This window comes from Homo sapiens, chromosome 17 (assembly GCF_000001405.40).
Source record: "Homo sapiens chromosome 17, GRCh38.p14 Primary Assembly".
NCBI lineage: Eukaryota > Metazoa > Chordata > Mammalia > Primates > Hominidae > Homo > Homo sapiens.
The window spans coordinates 40843800-40859614 of NC_000017.11; the positions used below are offsets into that span (position 1 = coordinate 40843800).

The 15815-nt window shown below is 39.3% G+C and overlaps 1 long non-coding RNA gene across 1 annotated transcript in view, besides 1 other annotated feature; it reads left to right on the top strand.

Annotated features, from left to right (window-relative positions):
* Positions 1-6998: 6998 nt before the first annotated feature.
* LOC105371777 (uncharacterized) overlaps positions 6999-15815 on the top strand; it is a 70694-nt gene continuing 61877 nt past the window's right edge. The window contains exon 1 of the long non-coding RNA XR_934754.3: positions 6999-7061. This is a non-coding gene — a long non-coding RNA (uncharacterized LOC105371777). The remainder of the gene's footprint in view (positions 7062-15815) is intronic.
* Positions 13198-13492: an enhancer, noted in NCBI's record as "tiled region #3631; K562 Activating non-DNase unmatched - State 12:CtcfO". NCBI's record gives its function as "activates a minimal TATA promoter and a strong SV40 promoter by Sharpr-MPRA in K562 cells {active_cell/tissue: K562}" and the evidence as "EXISTENCE:reporter gene assay evidence [ECO:0000049][PMID:27701403]".

A 15815-nucleotide genomic window follows, 5' to 3' on the forward strand; every position in this document is an offset into this window, starting at 1 on the left:
CCAAGGTGGGCGGATCATGAGGTCAAGAGATCGAGACCATCCTGGCCAACATGGTGAAACCCCGTCTCTACTAAAAGTAGTCCCAGCTACTCGGGAGGCTGAGGCAGGAGAATCACTTGAACGCAGGAGGCGGAGGTTGCAGTGAGCTGAGATTGTGCTATTGCACTCCAACCTGGCAACAGAGTGAGACTCTGTCTCAAACACACATGTGCACACACACACACACACACACACACACCAAAAACAAAAAACACCTTTTATCTAAGTGGAATTTCAGGCACCGTGGTGGTAAAAATTTTGAAGAAAATATTTTTCTGTATTTTTCCAATTAATACAACTTGACTTTAAAATTAACTGTAGCAGGAAAAGCACTTTGTTGTCTCTAGGCCTCTTTTCCTCACCTTCTGGAGGGAAGGGACAGTATCTTGGCTCTGATTGTCCTATCTTTTGTACAGTTCACTGAATATATATCATATGCCATATATTTTACTGGGGTTCTGAGGATGCAAGGATAAGTAAGATGTGGTCTTTACCTTCAAGGAAGTCATATCTTTTGGGTCAAAGGGTAGGAGACAAGGCACAAATAATTACAAAATAGGATGAAGAGTTTGGAAATACAGATTTATCTAAAGTATATGAAGCACCAGTAAAAAGAAACCAGTTTCTGGAGGACTTAATGAGATGTCTTTTGAATGATGTCTTAAAGAATGACTTAGAATTCATTGTATGGGAAAAAAAAAATCTAGGCTGAGGGACCAGCAAGTATAAAGGAGACATAAACACACACGACGTATTTCAAGAACTGAGAAAAGTTTGGTTTAGCTGGGACATAAAGTTTATGTGAGTGAGTGCCAACAAATAAGTCTGGAAAATAGGTTTGTGCTACATAAGAAAAGACCTGTAATGCCATTTTAAGGAATTTGGACTTGATCCCTTAGTCATGGAGTGGACCGTTGAAAGCTGCTAAATAGGGGAGGAACATGACCTTAATTTTTTGAAAGATAACTTTGTTGACAGTGTACTAGATGGATTGGGGGGAAACTGGACAAAGGGAGATGAGATGGGAGAATTTGCAAGAGTCTGGGGAGGGGAAGAAACAATGAAAATTTCACAAAAGTGTCAGTGCAGTGATAAGAATGGGAAGATAGTCATAGATAAGGTGGCATTTGACTTGGCTGTTTGCCCGTTGATGATGGAGGGCATCTAAGATGACAAGACGTTTCTAGTTTTGAACTTCGGGGAATGCTATTGACTGATATGTGAATGCAAAGGGGGAGCAGTTTTTGTAGGAAAGATAACAAATTTAGGGAAAGGAAGATTGAGCCTGAGGTACCTATCAACATTCAGATGTAGATATTCCATAGGCAGCTGCAGTGTGGGTCTGAGATTAGGAGAGAAATTGTGATTTGGAAGTTACTGGCAAAGAGAAACCATGAACTACATGAGATTTCTCAGGGAGAATGAGTAGAGATGAGGACCATGGATAAAACCTTGAGGAGCTGCAATATTTAATGAGAATATAAAAGGCTTGAGAGATAACATTGAAAGATAAAAGGGAGAACCAGGGGACAGAAGTTTCAAGAGAGCCAGTGGAGAGGAGAATTTTGAGAAGATGGGATGGCCAACAGTGTTAAAGATGTCAAGTATGACTAGAACTGCAACATTACTTTACAATCTAGCTGTTTGTTCTGAAAAGATCCTAGAAGTACTGTTGTCTTTTGAGAACAGGGAATGAATTCTCTCAAAGCTACCAATTACAGTTAATACACATTCTCAGTCTTTATAGTTTAAGCATCATTTAATATGACCAATTTTGCAAATTAAAGGATCACTGAAATTGAAATAATTTAGGAAAGAGCTGAAGGCCAGAAATTACCTATATTGAGGTGGTAGTTGAAGCCTTTAGAATAACTGGATTTTATAAAGGGGAGAGCAGAAGTTTAAGGCTGAATGGTGAGGAAACCCTCAGTTAGGCTTGGCACAGAGGAAAAGTACCCAGTGAAGGAAGTGAATAAGGAGTGATCTGGAAGTCTGGAAAAAAATTCAGGCAACCAAGGATGGATTGTAGCATATTATGATTCACCTGGTAGAGTTTCCAGAAGGAGGTTCTTCCGGGTCTTGAGTTTCAAATTCTGCATAGAGACCAGGAAGAATGAGGACTAGAAATTAATGTGCATGATAGTGCCACAAGATCCTTGGAGATCTGGGTGCAAGAATATACTGGACAATGTAGGGGCACAGAAGCCAGACTGTCTGCCATTAGGGAAGGAAAGGGTGGTGATGGAATGAAGCCATCTGTGTCTTGCACTGCTGCAGCACACACAGTGAGTATAAAAGAAAAAAGAATGGTGTGGAGCTAAGCAAGGGTGGAATGAAGACAAGATGGTTGGGTGCAGAACATACTGGGAAACAGAAGCAAGTAGAATTTTATAGCTCTTTAGAGGTATTTCAGAAATGTTTCCTCTGGGAAATAAAGAAAAAGAGGGCCAGGCGCGGTGGCTCATGCCTGTAATTCCAACACTTTGGGAGGCCGAGGTGGGCGGATCACTTGGGGTTGGGAGTTCAAGACCAGCCTGGCCAACATGGAGAAACCCTGTCTCTTGTAAAAATACAAAATTAGCTGGGCGTGGTGGCACATGCCTGTAATCCCAGCTACTTGGGAGGCTGAGGCAGGAGAATCGCTTGAACCCGGGAGGTGGAGGTTGCAGTGAGCCAAGATCATGCCATTGCACTCCAGCCTGGGCAACAAGAACAAAACTCCATCTCAAAAAAAAAAAAAAAAAAAAAAAAGAGAGAGAAAGAGAACACTCAGGGAGCCAATAAGCCAGATAGCACAGGTAGGTACCTGGAAGGAGAGAGAAATCAGAAATAAGAGTGGTTCAAGACACAGTTCAAGAGCTCACATCAGTAATATAGGAAACCATCTGTTGAATGAGCCATTTAAACTGTATCATAGGGAACTTAGCATAAAGAACAGGCATGTGGTATAATTAAAAATGACTGAAAAAATTCTGCATTTTAGAAGCATCATTGTGGCGAATGTGCAGGAAAGTGAGTGCTCAGGAAGTTGGCCTTAGACAGCTGGAAAGATATGTCCTTCATTGCCAGTAAACTGGCATTCTAATGTGCACATCAGCATTGTGTGAATACAGTCACTGTAAGTCTATCATCAAGTGTCAGGTTACCTCTGGGCATGGTGAAGTCTAGTTTCTGGACCTGCAGGGCTATGAGGAACAGATTCTGGACTGTGGTAAGTTTTTTGAAGTAATTCAAATTTATATTAAATTTGTATTTTAAAAAACCCTTTTGATAATCAATCTAGTCTTGTGGGCAGCTTTTCATTTGCTTCATGATATATTCCTGTACCCTCCATGAGTGGTGTTAGGAAAAATGGCAGTAAGTATTACTTTTAACAGTTAGTTGGTAGAATAATTTACTCACCGTATTCACTAAAAAGCTGATGATTACAAATAGAAAAATAGTTTTAGGAAATGTGGAGCTTAGAGAGAACAAACACAAGTCATTCTTGCTGCCACTCTCCTGTACTCATGTCAGACATTACTAATTGATAACACATCTTCCTGCTGAACCCAGACTGGCTGGAGAATTATTCTTAATAAAATTAATCCAGGAAGCCCACAACCAATTGCCTGAATTGAGCCATGTGAATAAAAACTCTGCCCTTTCTTTCTTTGTTTTTTTTTTTTTTTGAGATGGAGTCTCGCTCTGTCGCCCAGGCTGGAGTGCAGTGGTGCAATCTCAGCTCACTGTAACCTCTGTCTCCCGGGTTCAAGCAATTCTCCTGCCTCAGCCTCCCAAGTAGCTGGGACTACAGGCATGTGCCACCACGCCCAGCTAATTTTTGTATTTTTAGTAGAGATGGGGTTTCACCATATTGGCCAGGATGGTCTCAATCTCTTGACCTTGTGATCTGCCTGCCTCAGCCTCCCAAAGTGCTGGGATTACAGGCGTGAGCCACCGTACCCGGCCCCAAAACTCTGCCCTTTCTAGTGTAAATGAGTTGCTAGGAATTCTGGTCATCAAAATTACAGAATTCAGCTGGAAAGAACCTAAAGTATGATTTATCTTTTGAATTTAATGTCATGGGGGAAGCTAAATATGCTCTTTGGCCAAAAGTCTGTGGATATTCTGACAGAAATAATACCAGACTGGATAAATAGACAAATTATCAGGATAGAATTATCTAGACCAATAATACATTCACTGTTATAGCTTCAACCAGAACAGAATTTGCAAAGGATATTAGAGGTCATTGCCAGGCTTCACCTTCCAGCATTGCCTGTTACAGGGTGTATGGTAAATTGCTTAATCTCTTTTAATCTTCACGTGAGAAATAATATCCAATTCATAAATCTGAGAATACCAATTTAGATAACACATACAAAGTGTTCTTCTACAAAGTGTTCTACACAGTGGGTACTCATAGACATCTGTCCTTTCTTTCTTCTCTTGTTAAATATTCAACACTAAACGGAACCCCTTATCAGATATCTCCAATCTCTACTAAAATATTTCTAGTGATGAGAAACTCATTGTCTCATGAAGCACTTCACCTTCCTTTGAAGTGCTCTAATTATTAAAAAGCTTATCTTTCTATTTAACTGAAATCTGCCACACAGAATATAGCTTTGCTGATGGAGAATCTTTTGGGTATTTGACAAGATTACTCTGTGTTTCTAAGTCTTTTATTTTCCAGGTTATGGATCACCAGTTCATTCAACTGTTCCTTAGATGACGTGGTTTTCAATTCCATTATCATGTAGGTTGCCTTAACTTGGATCACTTCTAAATCTGTAGGATTAATCTGACCTCTCTTTTTCTGTTTCTAGTATTAGCTTAGGGAATATTTTTTAAGGAATGCCTGCTAACTGTGTTTTATCCCATTGCACTTGATCACCAGCATAATGCTACTTCCAAAGATATAACACAGAATTTATTGTTTTCATATGTAAATTTATAGAAACTATTTAAATTTAATAATTAATTATTAGTAACCTATAACCCCCCCCCCCCCCTCACCACTCCTTGGTTTCAGGGTTTGGTTTCAGGGTGGCTCAGGTGTCTTGAACACATTTGTAATGGAAACTTGATAAACTCCTATTTTGGGTTCACCCTCTTTTCTTGGGTGTGGGGCCAAAGTTTGTCACTTAGATTAACTAGTTGGCTTGCAAGCTATAATTATCTTCCTCCTCCAATTAAAATCACATTTCTGTATTGCCACATCTAGTTATTGCAAAATCTAGCAATACACCTTGGATTCTTATTTCCCTCTAAGCAGACTTTCCCTGACGATTCATATTTTTTCTTCTGGGTTGTTCAACTCTTAGGTATTGCTCTTGTCCCACTGCTGAGTAGGACATTGTTTCCAACAAAGATTGATCATTGGGTAATTTACAATATTGTTGGTTTTGTTTTTCTGTGTCTCATTTGCTGTATTAGAATGATTAACACACATTATTATATTATTATTTCTAGATTTGATTAATAGAATTTTGGGTGACTCATATACTCCAGCTATACCTATGTGACAGCATAATTGGATCCAAAATGAAAAATTCAATCAACATAGGGTTTTATTTTTAATTGTGCCAAATGAAAGGCTTAATTAATAATTTTCATTGGATTTTAGCTAATCCGTTTACCGGAATTTTTCAATCATGTGTTATGAATGTATAAACCTAATGTGATATTTCTAAACATCATTTCAACCTACATGTATTTGGCATGCCCACATTTTCTGCCAGATGCTGCATTAAGTACTGGGGACTTATTTCTGGATGGCCAATAATACCTGGCCCAGCCTTTGAGGAGGAATAAGATACAAAAATTCGTCTTCTAAAAAGGAAGTGCAGACTACCTGGGTCAAGGAACTTATGGTTCTCAGCTGGTGTGATGATTACTTAGTTTTATGGGAAAACACTCCAGAGGACACGCTCTTTGGTCCTATTCTTGCCAATCCACTCCCATTTAATACCATATGTTGAAATTTTATGTACTCCTCAAGGCTCTGCTCAGATGCCTTTCTGCTGTAAAGAGTGGTCCTCATATCCCAGCCCTTTATATTACCTCCCTTTTCCAAACTTCTGTGGCAGGTCACTTTATACCTGGCGAGGCAAGGTTATTTGCATACCTGACTAGTCCGCTCCCATTTGCTTCCATAGTGACCAGTAAATATTAGTTTGATTGAGAGAAAAGTGTATTTTACTTATTTTTAATTTTTATTCCTAACTGCTAGACCACCAAAGAGAGAGAGCACAATGTTTTTTAGATAGAACACCTCGTTATTAAGGGAGAACAAGTTCTATTTTGATCTAGATTGGCAGGAGTATTACATTTTCAGACTGAATATTTTCATGGAAAGCCAGTGTTCCATCAGCCATTTTAAGATAACTCAGTTTTGTATCTATGGTTAGGCGATTGCCTACATACAAAGCACACTTTAATGACGAATTAGAGGATTCCAAGCTTGCCTTTATAAGTGAATATCTACAGATTTTTTTTTCTTATAAATACTACATGGAAACCAAGTTACTCTATGTTTTGAAAGCAACTTCTAGTACTCTTTAGATGTATGGGAAAAAGTCCTCAGGTTAATTTCCTTAAGAAAAAGCGTCATGAATTAAAAGACTGCTTGTTGAAACTGAAGATCACTTTCTACTGAGTCACCAGATATTGAGCAATATGATTTATATCAATATGCCTTGTGAAATTGTCAAGTTAAAGATTGTACATATTAGATAAGAAAATTTTGTGTCCCTATAGAGTGACAAGTATCTTGAGGGTTTTCTGGAAATATTGAATTCAACAAATATCTCAGTAAAATGCAAACAACTTCTTGATGGATTTTTTAGTCTCAAACAGCCAGCCTAATTCCTTTATTAAGATTTAAGGAGAAGGAAGTAAGTGGAATTCAATTTCATATGACGCAAGCATATTTTAAATAGAGTAACCAAAACAAATAGATTCAAATGGAATCTATGCAAACCATCCTCTTTGCTTCCTTTGTGATGGACACTCCTTAGCTTCTGCGCCTTAATAAGGTAGGGTTTGTTCATTCAGTCTTTCCAAAGATAAGTGTTGGAAAATTTAGAGTTAATAAATCAGTGGATAAAAATTCAATGACTATTTCAAGAAAATAATAGAAGAAATATATCGCCACCATTCAATGTTTGTGCAACCAGTGTTTATTGAGTGCTTTTAATGGTACCTAGAGAGTAATACAGGTGGTCAAGCACAGTGGCTTATACCTGTAATCCAAGAACTTTGGGAGGCTGAGGTGGACAGATTGCTTGAGCCCAGGAGAGTAATACAGGCATTATTCCAGCTTTTACTGAGTGAATATTCTAGCATTTGTACGTAATTCTGTGCACAGGTATTCAACAAGTATTGATTGTCTCCTATGCAGTAGGGTATATGTGCTGTTTTATGCACTGTGCTAGATGCCAGGGCTACAGTGGAGGGCAAAACAGACATGGCCGCTGCCCTTAGAGAGAATGCAGTGGTAGAGCCAGACATTATTTCAATATTCATACAAATAAATGTATAATTGCAAATTGCGCTAAGAGCTGTGAAGGATAACTACAGTATAGTATGAGAAGGTAGAATAGGAGAACCTGACTTGGTTAATGAGGGGCATTTGAGTTAGGACCTAACTGGTGACTAGGATTGTTAACTAGGCCAAAATGGGGGTGGAGGCTCATTCTAGGTAAAGAGGGAAAGTTTGTGAGAAGCTGCCAGAGTGGGAAGGAGCATGGCGTTAGAATTTACTTGACTGTAGTATTGCTGTCACTCAGTATATGTATATCAAAACCTCATATGCTGTATATCTTAAATATATACAAAAATAAAGTAAACAAGACCAGTAGGTTTGGAGAAGATAGAGGGGGAGAGAGGGCACACGATTTGAAAGAGGGTAGAGGGGGCCAGGCCAGGCCATACCTTGCTGGGTTTTGGTCTTTATTCCAAGGACAATAGGAAGCCTTTGAAGGCCTTTAAGCAATGGAGTGACTGGATCAGCTTTTTCAAAATGATCCCCCCAGCTCTGGTGGAAAGAGTGGAAGAGAGGTGGGTACAGGTGGAAGCTGTGTGGTCAGCCAGGAGAGAGACATAAATAGTGGCTTGGATGAGGAGGCAAAATACCAGATATGGCCAGGATATGTATAGGTATCTGTTGAATGAATGAATAAATAAATCTAGGGTCAGGAGACTTGGAGCTTGACCTAGTTAAAAAGCTACAATTGAAAGATTTTTAGATCAACATTGATAGAGGAATAATTTTTCTTTGATTGTTTAGTTAAAGTTCAATTTAACTGAAAGGTAAAAGCCAGTTAAAATAATGCTTTATTATTTGATTTTTTTTTCTGACAAAATGAAACATAATTTAAATGATCCATAGTGATCCTAAATAGATTTTTAGTTCAGAGATAAATTATCATAAGGACATAAGATGTTTGGATATATGTGTATAGCAAGTGTTTTATGATACATATTCTACATGTTGGGAATGTAGTTTTATATGATTAAGTTTTCAGAGTGCCAATGCTTTGGAAAGTGCAGCTAAAAAGTCTCCCTGTGGACAAATTGGCAAATAATTGTGTAACCTGCTACTTCAGCTTTGTGTCTTTGGTGTTATAATATTATATTGTCCTTTAGCTCCTCAGAAATGATCTCCTCTTTAATGCAACTGTTACCTGTGTACCCTGGAGGTGACAGATAATCATGATAATGATGACTAAAACTTTCATCAGGTTCTCCTCCCTACTGAGACCTTCCTTTCCCTTGAGCAGTTCTTGTCTTCCCACTGGCCAGCGTTCAGTTCTATCTCCTTCAGCTCTGCAAGCTGTAAAAACACCTTCCATAGTCACACAGGGGAACTGAGTAAAATTCTCCTAACTTCACATCACCTGAAGGACTTTTTCTTACCCCTAGCCTCTGAGTAATAACACTGAGAAGGACTTCATTGTTGTGCTTTCCTATAACACCACTGCTGGATTCTGATTAGCCTGGATCTAATTCTGTAGTACTAATTTTTGTTCCAGGATTATCTCTATTGGATGCTGATTATATATATTTGTATTTTTTAAATGATAAACATTTATTTTATTATTTGTCAGCCTACTCAGTCATATATTAGATAGGCTAGGGAAGTTTAACATTAAAATTATCATCCAGAATCAGCACATAAGGCTGTTTAAAATGGGTATCCAGTGAAAACACCGTAAAGCACCTTGGGAGGTACTTTTTATCCAATGTAAATTGTAATATACAATGTAAAAACTGTATGAAACTTTATCATGTATTTGCCTTTAGATCATAAAAACTGAGGTTATTTTCAATAGACTATGTAGAGTCTTACATATAGTTGGTGCTAAATAAAAGCTTGTTGAAGGAATTGAAGCCATCCTCACAGAATTAAGAATTCTGGGCAGAAATGTAGTTATAATTAAGCTTTAACCAGGCTGCACTTTGACCCACTTCCTTGTAACTAAACATCACATAACCTTAGATTCTGACCATTTGCATCCCCATTGTTCCTGTAGATAGAAATTCTAATGTTAGAACCATGAGGCTTTTGTTTAAGAATTGCTTAAACGGATCCTGAATTACTGTGGAACTGCTAACGCCAACCAATTTAAAGACTCCCACAGACAAACCAAATGAGCATGAGAGTACAGTTTCTTTCTCTCCCTGTCCTGGGACTTCACCCTGTACTCTTCAACTAATCAACAATCTCTATGCTTTGGCTCACTCCAAAACTCTTAAAAACCCTCGCCCCAGAGTCCCCGGGAAGATGGATTTGGGGTTTTCTCTTTTCTCCTCATTTGTTGGCCTTACCATTAAACCTCTGTCTCTGTTGCAACCTGGTGCCTCTGGGTATTGACTTGCTGTGAACATCCAGGCAATGAACCTATTACAGCTACAGAATGAATACACAAATAAATGCATATGTGATGCCCCACTTGTATACATAAATAAGCCAGCGGAGAAAACCAAACACCACATGTTCTCACTCATAAATGGAAGTTGAACAATGAGAACATGTGGACACAGGGAGGGGAGCATCACACACCGGGGCCTGTCGGGGAGTGAGGGACTAGGGGAGGGATAACATTAAGGAGAAATACCTAATGTAGATGATGGGTTGATGGGTGCAGCAAACCACCATGGCACGTGTATGCCTATGTTACAAATCTGCACGTTCTGCACATGTATCTCAGAACTTAAAGTATAATAATAAAAAATAAAAATTACACTGCAACTTGTCAAAAAAGTTATACTTGTTGCTCTGTTTATTTGAAACGTGAAATTGCAGCCTGACGTGATTTCTTTAAAATCCCATGTTACTTGCAAATAAATGAAATATTTCAAAATGAGTACACTTAGCAGAAACTTAGTAGTGTATGTATAACTTCAGGAGATCAATAAGTGCAAGTCAGTAACTAAAATGACCATATTCTTACCAACCAAGGTCATAGCGTCGTGTGTTTACGGTGTTTTTAAAGATTTCAAAATGCCGGGCTAATGTGATTATATGTGATATTATTGTTGTCTTTTTGTACAAAGTGAGTCATCTCAAGTTGAGTAACTTGTTCTGAGTAAGATAATGACTCACTGAGAAAGCCTGAAATACCATCTAAATGGCTTCTATTAGAGCCCACTGCTGTCTGTGGACTGTTTTATCAGTGTGATTTATTTACAGGTCTGCTTCTAAATTGCGTATTTGTTCCATCATTTTGAAGAAGAGTTGCATTTCATTAAGAATATGTACATAGTGAAAAAACAATGACATATTTTAGCAACTAGAATTCGCAATGAATTTAATTCTAAAGAAGAGTAGTATGCAGAATTTTTTTCCTGAAAAAGCTTGATGCTCATGTTTTTACAGTCTATAAAGTTAAAATATCTATTCTGAGTTTTGCAAACAATTTATTGCATGTGTGTAAAGCATTGCATTTATTTATAATTCTGCTATATTATGCTAATTTAAGAAATAAACCCTAAAATCATGCATGACAATTCCCAAGAATGCTAAGCTTTTTTTGAGACGGAGTCTCACTCTGTCGCCCAGGCTGGAATGCAGTGGTGCGATCTCAGCTCACTGCAAGCTCTGCCTCCCGGGTTCACACCATTCTCCCGCCTCAGCCTCCCAAGTAGCTGGGACTACAGGTGCCCGCCACCACGCCCGGATAATTTTCTGTATTTTTAGTAGAGACAGGGTTTCTCTGTGTTAGCCAGGATGGTCTCAATCTCCTGACCTCATGATCTGCCCGCTTCGGCCTCCCAAAGTTCTGGGATTATAGGCGTGAGCCACTGCTCCCAGCCCCAGTTTTTCTTAATTTATTTTATATACTCTGTATTTAGTTGTAGAATCCTCCCCTTCAATTTGAGCAGCTACATTAATATTAGCATTTTAGACAGGCACCGTGGTTTGCACCTTTCATCAGGCATCTGACATTTGACTAAAATGGCAGTAGTCTGAGGTGGGAGGATCACTTGAGCCCAGGAATTTGAGGCTGCAGTGAGCTATGAGCACACCATTGCACTACAGCCTGGGTGACAGAGAGCGACCCCATCTCTGAAGAAAGCACATCTTATAGTTTCAAAGTGCTTTATGGCTTGTTAAGCTCCTTCACAGAAGTTGGCTTATTTGATGCTCACAACTTGTGATAGAGGGAAGATAAATATTATTCCCCCCTCCCCATATGTTGGGTGAGAAAAGTGCACTTTTTTTTTTTACAAAAGTGGAATAATTTAGGATTGTGCATGAAGGGAAGAAAAAGAATAAATATGTCTGGGGGAAATATGTAAACCAGTTCATTTCTTTAGTTGTAGAGAGACTTTTTTTCTTTGCATAATAATAGCAGGTAATATTTAGTGCTTACTATATGCCAAGTGTGAATTGACCCATAGAATTCTCATAATAGGGCGTGAAGCAGGTATCCTTTTTTGCCTTGATTTTAGGGAACAGAGAACTATGGAACAGAGAGGTAAGTAAAACCATTAGAAAGTGCCAGAGCTGGGACCCAAACTCAGGCCTTTGAACTGTGCTTTTAACCTCTATGCTCAGTGGTGTACTGGTGTAAAACAGTTTTCTGGGAAATACATTTTAAAAGCCCAAGTTCCATTTGTGTAAATACTCCCATCATGGCCAATTTCAAGCTGCCCATGGTTTAATAGCCAGCTTGGAAAATTCCTGAATATTTACTGATCAGTGATTAAGAGCCAGCTTGCCCTAGGACACCTTTGACGATCCTACATGGCCTCTCTGCGCCTGTGGACAGTATCATCTGAAGAAAGAATATTCAATTATTATTTTAAAATTGACTATTGAGTTAATATTTACTTACAATGAAATATATTCGTTTTAAATGTGCAGTTTGAAGAGCCTTGCTAAATGGACCCATCACCACAGTCAAGATACGGAACACTTCCATCGGTCCCAAAGGTTCTCAGGTGCCCCTTCCAGGTTAACCAGTTAATTCTCACTCCTCCCACACCTTTCAGCTCAGGTGACCACTGAGCTTATTTCTGTCACTATAGATGAGATTTTATCTTTCTGAAAGTTTCATATAAATGGAATCATACAGTATGTATTCTTTTGTGTCTGGTTTCTTTAGCTCAGCACAATCTTGGATTCAGTTCCAAGATTTAAGAAACATTTACTACCCCATAAAAAAATCATTTACTCAGCTATATGATTAAGAATTTCATTTTCATTTGATATTTGAGTATGTTTTTAAAGCCTGAGTAGTTATTGATTGGCTGGTTTTCTTAACTCTAAATAATTGCTAACTTTCTTTTTCACTTTATGCCTTGTAGAACTGCCTCCTTACTGGTGAACTTTTTGGAAACTAATTATTAGTTAAATAAGACAATTTTAATTTGCTAAGTTGATCGTTGTAAAAGGTTTGCTTTTTTTCTTCTTTCTTGTTTTAAAAGATAAACCTTCTAGTATCAATACATCTCAAGTGGCTTGAACACACAGGCTTAGCTTATTTTTATTTTATTTTATTTTATTTTTTGAGACGGAATCTTGCTCTGTTGCCCAGGCTGGAGTGCAGTGGTGTGATCTTGGCTCACTGCAACCTCCGCCTCCTGGGTTCAAGCTATTCTCCTGCCTCAGCCTCCCTAGTAGCTGGGACTACAGGCGCACGCCACCACTCCTGGCTAATTTTTGTATTTTTAGTAGAGATAGGGTTTCGCCATGTTAGCCAGGCTGGTCTCGAACTCCTGACCTCAAGTGACCCACCTGCCTTGGCCTCCCAAAGTGCTGGGATTACAGGCATGAGCCACCGCGCCCAGCCAGGTTAGTTTATTTTAAAGTTCATTTCTTGAGACTCCAGAAGATGGCACTCTTACAAAGCCTAAAGAAATAAAGCTTTGGCTTTGTTTTTCTACGTGGTTGTTTTTCTAGGTGGTTCCTTCCTGCTGTGACCCATTTGCAAAGCCATTTGTTTGGGAGAATAACATTTATTTTTTTTTCTGATTATCAGAGTCATATATGCTGTTTGTTAAACATTTTAATAAAGGTATTCTTCAAACCCCTTGCTAATCCCCAAGAGATAACTACTATAACAGTTCAGTATATATACAGTATTTTCCAGACCTTCCACTAGCTTTTACACACAACATATGCATATCAAAGTAAAAATTTAAATTTGTAAAATTTTAGATTTTAGGATAATCATAAACAATGTACTTGTCTTTTGCTATAGGATTCTTTATTCAGTTTTTTTTTCTTAGGAGTTCTTTTCTTTAAAGACAGACCTTCCACTTCTGCAATTCATTACTTGCCGAGTCCAAAGGGACCTCTCACATCTGTGTTGAATTAGGGCTTGTGGCCTAGTGAATGAGGGATAGACTCTCATGATAAGGATGCTGCTATGGTCTGAAAGTTTTTGTCCCCCCATATTTGTATGTTGAGACCTAATCACCAATGACCCAGTATTAGGAGGTGGGGTTTTCGAGAGTGGATTAGGTCATGAGGGTGGAGCCCTGGCGAAGGGGATTATTGTCCTTATAAATGAGGCCCTGGGGCATTGCTTTGTCCCTTCTGCCATGTGAGGATATATCGAGAAGCTGTGTATGATCCAGAAAGCGGGTCCTTATCAGACAGTGAAGCTGCCTCCAGAACTGTGAGAAATAAGTTTCTCTCATTTTTAAGCCACGCGGTCCGAGGTATTTTGTTCTAGCCGCCCGAAGGGACTGATAGATGCTGTGCTAGTTGCATTTCTTGTCAGTGAGAACAGGGCAAAGTGAAGTTACATAATAAGAAATGTAATGCTTCCTTTGCCAAGTGAAGACTTATAGGATATTTTGGCCAAGATAGTATCAGAAAAGGACTATTATTTGGGTCTTGCTGGCTGTGCCATGAAATCCTAGCCATTGGAACTTCAATGGGAAATTTTGTGAAATCACGAATTTTTTTCAGATAGTTTTTTCCCCCACGATATAACCCTGCCGGTAGCTGACTTCCCCAAGAGCATATAGTCCAGGAGACCAAGGAAGAACTGAAAGGCCTTTGTGATCTATCTTTGGAGGTCATATACTGTCACTTCTTCAATAAATCTGCTCCTCGTTCATTGTGAGAAGGAACTACACAAGGGAATGAAGACCAGGAGGCAGGGATCACTGGCACCAACCTGGAGGCTGCCACAAGTCACCAATATGTGGGTGCTATTTAAAACCATGGGATTGGCTGGGTGCGGTGGCTCACACCTGTAATCCCAGCACTTTGGGAGGCCGAGGCGGGCAGATCATGAGGTCAAGAGATGGAGACCATCCTGGCCAACATGGCAAAACCCTGTCTCTACCAAAATTACAAAAATTAGCTGGGCGTGGTGGTGTATGCCTATAGCCCCAGCTACTCAGGAGGCTGAGGCAGAAGAATCGCTTGAACCTGGGAGGTGGAGGTTGCAGTGAGCCAAGATTACACCATTGTACTCCAGCCTGGGCAACAGAGCGAGACTCCCTCTCAAACAAACAAACAAAACCCATGGGATAAGATCAGGGAGGAGAGGCTGGGGAGGGATCAGATGAGGTTACCTGGGGAGGGAGTATAGAGAAAAGACAAGAGGATTGAGCCAACATTCAGTCACAGAAGTCTGAGAAAAAGCTGCCTACAGAGTGATGGCTCTGGGAGCTTTGTGGTAAAAAATTTCCAAGAGAAGGGAATGCTGAGAAACTATGGTACTAGCTAATAAATGACCCTTGCATTTATACTTGTGCAAAATCCTTTCCCCTTTGAGTCTCACACCATTCTTATGTAGTTGTAAGGAAAACAGATGTTATTTAAAGCAGTAACTATTTGCAGACACTTTTGAGCACCAGGGAAGTAGAATCCTTTATTTATTACTTGGGGGCTGTGGACCTTGTTCAGAGGCCTTGATAAAATCCTTTTGAGTCTGAAAGGTAAAGGTTACCCTAGGATGTGTGCTGGAAGGTGAAGGCTAGACAAAGAGAGCTGAGCGTATAATAAAGTGAGATGAGTGGAGGATCTGAAACCATTAAAAATATTTTTTTCTTTTCTTTTTTTTGAGACAGGGTCTTACTCTGTTGCCCAGGCTGGAGTGCAGTGGCACGATAACAGCTCACTGCATTCTTGACCTTCCCAGGCTCAGGTAATCCTTCCACCTCAGCCTCCCAAGTAGCTGGGACTACAGGTGTGCACCCCCACACCCGACTAATTTTTTTTTATTTTTTAAATTTTTTTTGTAGAGACAGAGTTTTACCATGTTGTCCAGGCTGGTCTTGAATTCCTGGGCCCAAGCAATCTGCCCATATTGGCCTCCCAA